Below are 12,526 nucleotides of genomic sequence, written 5' to 3' on the forward strand. Positions count from 1 at the left end.
TCCTTTATTTTCCCTTTAGTCAAACCCCACCATTCTCTGTTCTAAATTCTCCAATAGAGTCCAATTGCCCTTAGAATAAAATATACCATTCTGTTATCTCATAATCTAATTTGCATATAAATGATCTGGCCCCTGTCTAATTATCTGAGCTCATCTCATGTTACCTTCTCCCTCAGAACCAAATTTAACCATATTGGTCATCTGTTTTTAGAAAATACCAACATCAACTCAAATCTCTTCAGCAAAGCTTCTTTGATCACCCAACCTTCAGTAGAATTATGTCCCATCACTATCTTTCATACCTCTCTGTTTAGTTTCTCTACGCACTAAAGTATAAGCTCCACAAGAACAGGTCCCATGTCTGTTTTATTCGCAGCTGTGTCGTCTTCAGCACCTAGAATTGTGCCATGGCATAAAATAAGTGCCTAGTAATATTTCTGAAACAAGTGATTGAATGACAAATAGACTGGAGGGCCCGGAACATTTATTAGGCTATATTAACAGCCTAGATAAGAGAAAAAGAAAGTCTGGACTAAGGCTGTAGCAGTGGAAAATGAGAAGGATGGATTCAAGAAAGCTAGGAGACAGAATGATAGGAATTGGTGCTAACTGCCTATCGGGGAGCAGAGAGCTGATCTCCCTATACAGTATCTGATAACATCCCATGCCATCCTCCTTTCATAGAGTTCTTCTTCCAATTCACATTGAAGAATTCCTGGATATCTTTTTCACATTGACGGTCATAATGCACTTACACATTTTCTTTTCTAAAATACTGCTTCTTTTCTTTAACATTTTTTCACAAATCTAGGTTTCTTAACTCTTTAATTATTGTTCTGACTCTTAACTAAGCTCTCTGTGAAGTCTCAATAATGGCCATAATAGCTCTTTGGGCTCATGTTTGGGCTTTCAATATTTTTCCTTTGACAAACTCATTCATTCATTTTTTTAAAATGATTAAGAGCTTATTTGCTAGAAAAGACAAAATTCTCTGTCTTTGAGGAACTCAAATCCATTAGTGAAGAAGTTAAATGAAAAAAAAAACAGATAAATGCAACAGTTTGATAACTGCTCCATTATATAATACAGTTTTCTTTTGCTTTACATTTTGCTTTCTCATTAAATTATAAGCTGCTTGAAAATAAGGGGCCATATCCTATTCACTTTATATTTCCACATTAGATTTTGAGCAAAGTTGGTGAGGGATTGTTGACTTAACAGCATGCTTTCTTGATTCTAGATCAGTAACTCCCGAATAGTCTTATGCTATATATAATGTTTTAAATCATCTTTAGATTACTTACAATACCATTAGGTAACATAGCATTAACAATATAAATGCTATGTAAATAGTTGTTTTTACTGTATTTTAAATTTTGGTATTTTTAATGCTGTAGTATTACTTTTTATTTATATATATATATGCAGAAAATGTGTAAGTGCATTATGACCTTCAATGTGGAAAACTATATATCTATAGATATCTACTTATATATATAACTCTATAGCTATAGATATAAAACTACATATCTAGACATAATGTGTGTATACATATTTTTATGTTTTATATATATATTTAAGTGTGTACACACATACATCTATACCCATTTAAACATTATCCTTGTTTTCCCTACTTCACCATGGGCCAGTGACAATGATAACTTTGTCATGGCCTATTATTACATGGTCTACCATATACACTGACATTCTCAGGTCACAGTTTGCTATACTTCCATATAATATCCAACAACTATTTTACTTCCACATTGTATGAGTCACAGTACTAGAAACTTTAAATACATTATCTCAATCTTTACAACAACTCTATGACTCCATTAAATTGAGCTCAGAAAGATGAATCATTTCTCTATGACCAGTAAGTTAATGTGTGTCCAAATTTAACAAAATTAAACAAAATTTGCATTCAGATCTGCCTGGCTTGAACATCTCTAGATTACTTACAATACCTAATACAATGTAAATGCTATGTAAATAGTTGTTTTACTGTATTTTAAATTTTGGGTGTTTTGGTTTTGTTTTGTTTTGCTTTTTTGAGATGGAGTCTCACTCTGTTGCCCAAGCTGGAGTGCAGTGGCACGATCTTGGCTCACTGCAACCTCTGCCTCTGGGGTTCAAGCGAGTCTCCTGCCTCAGCCTTCGGAGTAGCTGGGACTACAGGTGCACACCACCATGCCCAGCTAATTTTTGTATTTTTAGTAGAGACAGGATTTCACCATGTTGGCCAGGCTGGTCTCGAACTCCTGACCTTAAGTAATCTGCCTACCTCAGCCTCCCAAAGTGCTGGGATTACAGGTGTGAGCCACTGCACCCAGCCAATTTTGTATTATTTTTTAATACTGTACTGTTACTTTTTATTGCTTTTCTTCTCCCAAATATTTTCAACTCCAACTGCAGTTACAGAATCTACAGATATGGAGGGTCAACTGTACAGGCAATATATATTAATCACAAATCCAAAAGAAATATTATTATAACTCATAATTTTTAAATAAGAAAACATGCTAAAAATACTTGTGTTTTTTATTTCACTAAGTTACGATGCTATAAAAACGAAGATTTTGTAAATATTTGGATACAAGGCTAGTATATTTTGAAGAAAATGACCTCAGGATATGAAAGCATACAACAAAGTATGCACTGTGATAATTACATGTTGACTTTTGATTATATATGGTAAGAAAAACAAAAGAATAGACACATTTGTCTACTCTTGGTTGTATTATTAAAGAACTACTATTTTGTAAAGCAGCATAATAATAGCTACAAAAACAGTGGTCAACATAAAATGTGTATTTTTGATTGTTTTAATTTATATACTTTGTACTTTAGCAGTATGAAAGCCAACTCTTAATGGCATGATATATTTAGTTTATTCTACATAGGAGGGATTCTACTATCTTCTCCATAGACCAATTAACATGGACATACTAACAGTAGAGAAGGAACTCATTGTGCTCAAATATTTCATATTAAGTATAATCCATTTTTACCAACTCTTGGTCTGGACAAGTATTAAAACACTTAAGAATAAAAAATATGCTCAATAATAAATTAGAATAGATTTGGAAATGGAAACCATTACAGTGTAACTTAAAATATTAATAATTAAAACTATATGAAGCTTTACACTAGTGAATGTTTTTAAGATATCCCACTTTGTAATTTTTATTCTTAGCCCTTAATAAGAATGATTTATTTTAAATTCCTTTAAATTTTTCTAATACACGATGAATGTTGCATAAATTATTTCCTTAAGTGTTACATTATTATTATTATTATTTTTTTTTGAGACAGAGTACCTCTGTCGCCCAGGCTGAAGTGCAGCGGCATGATCTCAGCTCACTGCAACCTCTGCCTCCTGCCTCAGCTTCCTGAGTAGCTGGGATTACAGGAATGCACCACCACGCCCAGCTAATTTGTGTATTTTTAGTAGAGACGGGGTTTCACCATGTTGGCCAGGCTGGTCTTGAACTCCTGACCTCAGGTGATCTGCCTGCCTTGGAGTGCTGAGATTACAAGCGTGAGCCACTGTGCCCGGCCAGTTATATATTATTTTTAATAAGATAGTTTCATGTCTATCAAATGATTAGTACAATAATTTTAAATAACAATTATCTGACAAGAGAGTTATAGTGAATGGAAATCCAGACTCAGGTATTTGATAATATAGTCAAATGCTTTCATATATTAAACTTAGAAAAAAATTAGCTTATGTAAACTTTTCAATGTTGCAACTTATCCATCTGTATTAATCATCATACTATTTTCTTAATTGCCAAGTTTTTCTTCCTATAAAAAGTAAACAAATATATCACTACCTTCTGTAAAACAGCAATTTTAAGCTCTCCTTGGAGTGCTTCAATTTGTTTTTTCTTCTGTTCACTTGATTGCTTTAGCTCATTTATGTTCCCCTGAAGTTGTTGCTCTTCTTTTTCATTTTGTTTTAAAGTATTCTGGGCCTGTATAAGTTGTTCCTGCATTGAATTGAGTTCCAATTTCAACTGATGAGAAGCCTGAAAGAAAAAAAAAATCTATTTAGCCTTCATTTGTTCATTCAAAAGACGATGTACTGAGTAACTAGAAAAAAAAATCTATTTAGCCTTCATTTGTTCATTCAAAAGACAATTTACTGAGTAACTACTACACTCCAGGCACTACTCTAGGAAGAAATTACTGAGGCTGTTGGCTACAGATAATTAGTAAAGATACCTGCCCTCATATTGCTTTCATAACCAACACTATTCACTATTAGGTGACATGCTGGATTAATCTTTATTATTTTTTTTAACACTACCTTTCTTTTTGACTTATAATTGTATAGTTACAGCTTGTAAATGATCTACATTAGTATTCTCTTGTATTATGGAAAATAGGTATGTCAACATCAATGTCTAAATTGTTGGATGTCAACTGTCTTTCAAGAATATTCTCGGCCAGGCACGGTGGCTCACACCTGTAATCCCAGCACTTTGGGAGGCTGAGGCGGGAGGATCACGAGGTCAGGAGATCGAGACCATCCTGGCTAACACAGTGAAACCCCATCTCTACTAAAAATACAAAAAAATTAGCCGGGTGTGGTGGCAGGTGCCTGTAGTCCCAGCTACTCGGGAGGTTGAGGCAGGAGAATGGTGTGAACCCAGGAGGCAGAGCTTGCAGTGAGCCGAGATCGTGCCACTGCACTCCAGCCTGGGCAACAGAGCAAGAGACTCCATCTCAAAAAATAATAATTAAAAAAAAAAATTCTCATATGCCACTAAGCCTATTGGCCACAGTTGTCGCAAAGAATAGCTCTATAGTAACTATGATAAAAACAAAATCACTTTTGACAAAATACATTTAGTATCTGTCTGATGACATTAAATTACACTGCACAGGCCAGGTGCTCACGCCTATAATCCCAGCACTTTTGGAGGCCAACGCGGGCAGGTTACTTGAGGTCAGGAGCTCGAGACCAGCCTGGGCAACATGGTGAAGCCTGTCTCTACTAAAAATACAAAAATTAGCCAGGCGTGGTGGCAGGCACCTGTAATCCCAGCTACTTGGGAGGCTGAGGCAGGAGAATCGCTTGAACTTAGGAGGTGGAGGTTGCAGTGAGCCGAGATTGCGCCACTGCACTCCAGCTTGGCTGACAGAGCGAGACTCTGTTTAAAATAATAATAATAATACACTGTAGAATAGTTACCTCATTTAGAGATCTGGGGCATATTTTACTACTACCTTGTTTGTACAATCCACTAGGATATGTTTCTGTTCAAATTCAGACATCATACAGAAGTCACACTGAAGTTCCTCTGTCACCAAGGTAAACCACTATTATCTCCCACCCTCCAACCAAAGTCATGTTTTCATGTTCTATGCATATTTTACTAAGAACCTAGCATTACATTCAAGCATTTGACCATATCCAAAGTTACTTTTGAAAAAATGTTAGTGTTATATATAGACGTCTCAGCTTATCTCCACAATGAATAGCAAAATATTTTTATGCAAAACAGGAGTCAGAGAGTATGACAATAAGGATGATATATGATATAACCAATGATAAAATAATAACTAGCATGAGCATTTACTTTATTATAGTCAGTGTACTGAGTACTTTAAAGATATTAACCCATTTATTTCTCACAATAACTCTATCACATAGATTCATATAGACTCTATCATATAGAAACTAGAGCACAGAGATTAAGTATTTGGTCTAAAAGATGGCGAAATGGCATAGCTAATAAATGGCATAGCCAGGATATAAATTTGAACAATCTTGATTCAGAACTTGGGCATGAAGCAATTATAATTTTGCTACTTACATGGCTGGCATCTACAACACAAGTCTGCTTTCAATCAACAACTAGAATACAATCACATCAAATACTTGTCAGTACTATGTCTTGCTCCTTTATCAAATCAGATTTTCTAGAAAGTTGCATACCTAGACTCTAGCAGCTAGCAGGTATGGCTTCAGAGAGCAACAACCATATATTATACCCATGTGTTTACTCATTTGCTTGTCTGTTTTTGCTGGAAACAATAGAAGCATTAACCACAGAAAAATATTTTGGTTGTTCTACAACCATTATCAAGTATACATTAGTATGTGTATAAATGTCCATGAAATAAAGAGCCATAAAGAGTCCATGAAATAAAGGTCATTTCTATAGAAAGCCTTTTAAGATTTTTTTTTCAACCATAAAAATGGTCCTTAACCCTGTAGTTAGCTGACTCAATTTTCTACCTTTATTAATAATATTTCTTTATTTGGGTCTTTGATTATAAACTAGCTTAAGTCTTTTTAATAGTAGGCAAAATACAAATAACAATTTTAAACTATATACATGATTTGTTACATTTCAGAGAAATGAACCTATGACCTAAATATCAGTATGAAAATGCTTATTTTTCTTAAAACTATAAAAAAAAATTATCTGTGGAAATGCCCCCAAGAACAAACATGCTTTATATATTTATTTGAAAATATAAAGACCTTACTATACTTTACAGATTTTATGTTACAAAAAAAAAATCTTACCTCCTTCTCTTTTTCAAGTGACTTTTTCAGTTCCTTCTGTTCCTTAAGTGTGTTTTCCATCTGCACTTGAAGTTGATGCTTTAATTCTTTGCAAGTTTTTTCCTTAAAAAAAATGAAAACTATATTACATAAAAAATATTTGTAATAACCTTAAGAAGTTTAGTTTATAACCTTAGTAAGATACACACGAAGAAATAAACTAAAATTATGATGAGCTAAGATGAGACAGGATCATCCATTTCAATGATAAAACTAGGAAAATATTACAGAAGTAATGGAGGAGGGACAACAAAACACTAAGGGTTTTGATCATCAACCAAGTCACAATGGCATATTTTAAACATTAAAATGATATCTTAGAACACTTTAGAAATCACATTTTATGTCACACAATTCATTATAATTAACTTGCCACACTACTTTTATAGCAATGGGCTTCAAGAAAATGGAAGCAAGAAAACTTAGGAAACAATAAATTAAGAAATGATCACAATAGGAAAAGTGTACAGATAGAAAATGTTTTCTCTAAACAGAAAAGAACATAACAACACACATGAGAAAGACTAATATTCAACTGAAAATATTCTTGGCCTTTAGAAAATGGCGTGCACACAGGTGCATACACACACATTATTATCTTGGGCTTCTTCTCAGGTTAAGCAATCCCAATTAATTTCCTCATAAGAACTACTTTAAACTATTTAAATGTGGAAAGAAAAGCAAACTGTGAATTAAGCAGAAAAATCAGTACATTTTAAATAAAATAATCACTTCTACCTAAGAAAGTAAATGTAAACTACTAACCAAGTCTAATATAGCGGCTTTTCCTTTCTGATTCTCCTTTTCAAATTCACTTTTAGAGTTTTTCAAAGAATCAGAAACTTTTGATAGTTTGTCCTTTACTGTAGAAAGCTCTGTCATTAAAGCTTCTTTCTCCATTTTCACTTTTTGTAGTTCTGTTACTGTTGTTTGAATTCTGTTATTCAATTCCTCATGCTGAATCTTTGTTTCTTGACTTAAAGTTTCAAAATCTTGTTTCAGGATTTTTTTTTCTTCCTCTTGCTTGGTAAGCTTTTGCTTGATACTTTCAAGGGCTTCAGATTTTTTCTGTAGATCCAATCTTGTACTGGATACTCTAAATATTTAAAAAACAATCTTTTTAAATAACACATAATTTACCACTTCTAATTTACCATTCAAAATTAATCACAAACAATTACTGAGTTCTGAAACTTTTTTGTATAGTTCACAAGTAAAAATAATTTAATTTCATAAAATCGCACCACTGAAAAATACTTTAGAACATCTCATTTGATCATTTAACAGATGTAGATTATTTTTCCCAAGTCAAATAAGTTAGTAGTGAAGACAAAACTATCTAAGCTTCCTGACTTAATCCATTTTTGTCCGCCACAACTAATCCCGAGGAAAAAAACTATGTATCACAGACCCTCTACTCTATAACAGCCAGAAACGTTTTTCCATAAAGAATCTATTCATTATGTTAGTTCTCCAACACAGAGAGAACTTTGTCTCTTTCCTTGAAAACATGAAACACATTATGTGTGACAGTTCTTAGGCTTCAAAATATTTATGGTTAACCCAGAAAAAAATCAAAGAAAGAAAATTAAAAAAATATTTTATTTACAATATAGAGGGAAGACAAATGATTTACTTTAACCCTAGAAGCTAGCAGATTATACAAAGGATTTGTTATCATTTGTTCCTTAATATAGTTCTCTTATACATGAATGAAAAAAGCAACAAGAATGAAGAAATAAAGTTATAGCTTTAGAAAGCTATAGACTTTTATTGTTTTCATAAAAGGAACTATGCAAATTATACAGCAAAACCCTCAATACACTATAAATAACAGCCATTTTAAAAGTCAAAACCAGATGCTAAGTAACAGTATTTCTAGAATGCACACTAGTTCCAATGTAATCAGAATAAATTTGTAACCAATAAAAATAAGTCAATATGTTAAAGGGAGGTTGTTAAAAGATGTACTAATAAAGTATTTGAAATTGTGTATTAATACAATATCAAAACTGTATTTATACCTCGAAATCTAATTTTTTAGTTCTAGAAACACACTTTTACCTCCTAAAAAATAGCTGGAAAAGATGTTAAAGCTTAATAGGTTCACAAGATATTATTCCTCCTTGATTTTTAAAGGTCCAAATGGAAAAGTCATTATACTAATATTATTTTACATTTTAATATAGTTAAAATCCCTGTTAAGCAACCTTAGAATTAAGACTTGATATATTTATTTACTATGCTGCTTAACTTTTTCAAAATTAATTACAAAATCATAAGACTATGTGAATCAAAGAAAGCAAAACAGAAATAGAGGCTTACATAGTCACTGTGACACTTCTTGTTTTTTTTTAAGTAACTAAGGGAAGAAATAAACAAGTCCACAATCATAGTTGGAAACTATAATATCTCTTTTTAGAAACTGATAGAACAACCAGAGGAACAAATTGGCAAGAATATAGACAATAAGAACAGCACTGTAATTGTTATTTATAGCCACTCCACCCAATAACACAGAGTACATATATGTGCACATGGAAAATTAATTATGATAAGCCATATGCTGGGCCTTAAATAAGACTTACTTTCAAAAGTTTGAATTTTACCAAGAATGTTCTCTGACCACAATAAAATTAAATTAGAAATTAGGGCCAGGCACGGTGGCTCACGCCTGTAATCCCAGCACTGTGGGAGGCCAAGGTGGGCGGATCACAAGGTCAGGAGATCGAGACCAACCTGGCTAACACAGTGAAACCCCCATCTCTACTAAAAACACAAAAATTAGCCAGGCATGATGGCAGGCACCTGTAATCCCAGCTACTCGTGAGGCTGAAGCAGGAGAATCGCTTGAACCCAGGTGGCAGAGGTTGCAGTGAGCCGAGATCACGCCACTGCATTCCAGCCTGGGCGACAGAGTGAGACTCTGTCTCAAAAAAAAAAAAAAAAAAAAAAATCAGTAACAATAATATACCTAGGAAAGCCTCAATATTTGGAAAGTAAACATACTTATAACCTACACATTAAAGAAGGAATCACAAAGGAAATCAGAAAATATATTAAACTGCAGAGGAATGAAAATACATTGTAAGATGGGAGGGAAACATTGGGTGTATAAATGTAAGGGGGCCCTCAAAAAGGGGAGCCCTGTATCCTGTTATTTGGGCTAAGCCCTGGGCTCATGGGTGGGGTTTAGTCAAAGTCTCTATATGTTTATCTGATATAAGAGCAGAAGGGACCCCAGCCCTCCTTGCCTAGGTAGTACTCCAGAAATGTGAGAAGACCTCAGAGGAGAAATGTATGTACAAAGTACATAGGCAAGAAAGATCTTAAAGGTTTTCCTACCCCAATAGGATGTGGGAGCCCTGTAAGTGAATTCTGAACCATGAGATTAGAACATAGAATGAAAATGGGTCCACTTCCATTGGGCCCATTGGAAACAGAAAGAACCATTGGGCCTGCAGAGTTTTTGAGGAACAGAACAAAAGCCATCTCGGAGATGATCTTCATGGACTGATGCCTGCATTCTAGAGATAATGATGAACCATTTGGTTGGTAATGTAATGGATCAGATATGCTCCTCAAATACCTAGGCACTGGAAACTACCGTGAGGAGGAATGCCACCTGAGGCACAAGATGCAATTCTATAACCTCCGATTCAAAGCATCAGGACCCAATTTACTAGATATGAAAATGAGAATATTTTCACCATCATATCCCCAAACAAGGATGAAAACCATGAAGGTGTGAAACAACTTAATCATCAACTCTGATGGGTTTTATTTCACCTTTCTGAAGAGGACTTTTCTCAGGTTCTTAGTCTCTACCTTTACTACTGGAACAGTCAAGAGCCCTCATCCCCTTGACACAAGTCAAGTCCATCAACTCAGTCAGAGCAGGTGATTTGATGTTTAAAGACAAAATGTACTCAAATGTAACCAGTTATATGAAGACATTCAAATGAATTGGGTGGAACTGATTTTTATCCATCAAAATAATGGTGAGTGATGTGTTCATTGAAGATCTCATCATGGCAGGACCCAAATTCAGCATCAACATCAAGGATAAGCTGGGCAAGAGACTAATTCTACCTTGGGAGTGAACGAATGATGCTGCAGCTAAGCACTTCTATGGCTATATATGTTCAGAAGCACATGCCCATTCTGCCACCAGAGACATTTGAAATTTCATATACTAATAAATCGTATAGGTCCCAATAACTTCTAAACCAATCCACCCTTATACTCAGAGCTGCCATGAATCCATTGAGCACTTTAGTGCAAATTAGAAAAAAGATACCCTCTTTCAAGATAATTTATTCCATCTGTGGCAAAACTGTCATAATACACTGATTTTATTAGAATAAGGCTACATACTACCATCTGCAGAAATCTTACATCTAGCATTGACAAGTGAAAAGTGGGTAACTGAAAAAAAGAAACAGATACTACAAAATGTAGACAGACACAGTGACGCTTTCACATTTAAAAGCTATTAAAAAAAAGCAAAGTAATAAGGTCTAAAGATGGAAACAATAAAGAGGAGAAATAAATAAGATAGAAAACTGACAAAATAAATCAAAAGCTTTTTACAATAGTCTGATAAAACTGATAAATCTCTAATTAAATTGATTTTTAAAAAGACAAATTAGCATGATTAAGAATAAAGGAGGAACACTACTACAGATCCTAACAGACCTTAAAAGTGTAATATTATGAACAACTGCCAATAAACTTGAAGTTTAGAGGAAATGAACCCATTTCTGAAAGACACAATGTACCAAAACTGACTCAAGAAAAAAAAATCAGGAAATTAGAATAGCTCTATGTCTATTAAATGAATTGAACCCCAAATGAAACAATCCAGAAAGAGAACTCTAAGCCTAGCCAGTTCACTAGTGAATTCCATCAAACTTTTAAGAAACAAATAATATCCATCTCATACAAACTATTTCAGAAAGGAGGAGGAAATACTTCTCAATTCCTTTTTAAGGCCAGTATAACTCTGATATCAAAACCTGACAATGATATTAAAAGAATACTACAGACCAATACCCCTCATAAATATATGAAACATTTTTAACAAAGTATTATCAAATCAAAAACAGCAATATACAAAAAGGTAATACAGCATGGTCAAGTTAATTTATCCCAGGAAAGCAAGGTTGGTTTAACAGTAAATCAATCAATGTAACTGACCATATTAACAGAATAAAACAGAAAATCCATATGATCACATCAACAGATACAGGAAAAAAGGTGATAAAATTCAATCCAAGCACGGTAATTTTTCTTTTTTAATAATTTTTTTTTTTTTGAGACGGAGTCTCGCTCTGTCGCCCAGGTTGGAGTGCAGTGGCACTGGAGTGCAGTGGCATGATCTCAGCTCACTGAAACTTCTGCCTCCCAGGTTCAAGCAATTCTCATGCCTCAGCCTCCCGAGTAGCTGAGATTACAGGCGTGTGCCACCATCCCCTGCTGATTTTTGTATTTTTAGTGGAGACGAGGTTTCACCCTGTTGGCCAGGCTGGTCTCGAACTCCTGACTTCAGATGATCTGCCTGCCTCAGCCTCCCAAATTTCTAGGATTACAGGCATGAGCCACAAGGCCGATAATTTTTTTTTTATATATAACTAGGTATCAAAGGTAATGTCTTCAATCTGATAAAGGGAATCTCAGAAAAACCTACAGCTAACCTCAAACTTAATGATGAAACATTTAATATTTCCTGCCTAAGATTAGAAATAATGCAAAGATATTTGCCAATACTGTTTACATTCACAATGTTACTGGATGTCCCAGCCAGCAAGAAAAAAGATATAAAAGGCCTATAGGTTGGAAAGGAAGAAGTAAATTTGTCTCTATTCACAGATAACATGAATGTCTAGTTAGAAAACATCAAGAACTCTACAAACAACAACTAAAACTAAAAAGTAAATT

At 34.1% G+C, this 12,526-nt stretch overlaps 1 protein-coding gene across 2 annotated transcripts in view; it reads right to left on the reverse strand.

Annotated features, from left to right (window-relative positions):
* Positions 1-12,526, reverse strand: part of EEA1 (early endosome antigen 1) — a 158,659-nt gene that overhangs the window by 24,416 nt on the left and 121,717 nt on the right. For both annotated transcript variants that reach the window (NM_003566.4, XM_011538814.3), the window contains 3 exons: positions 7,352-7,682; positions 6,548-6,649; positions 3,840-4,034 (listed from right to left, as the gene is read on the reverse strand). In NM_003566.4, the coding sequence (NP_003557.3) occupies positions 3,840-4,034; positions 6,548-6,649; positions 7,352-7,682 (628 nt within the window). The remainder of the gene's footprint in view (positions 1-3,839; positions 4,035-6,547; positions 6,650-7,351; positions 7,683-12,526) is intronic.

The sequence above is a fragment of the Homo sapiens genome, chromosome 12 (assembly GCF_000001405.40).
Source record: "Homo sapiens chromosome 12, GRCh38.p14 Primary Assembly".
In the NCBI taxonomy this organism is placed as follows: domain Eukaryota; kingdom Metazoa; phylum Chordata; class Mammalia; order Primates; family Hominidae; genus Homo; species Homo sapiens.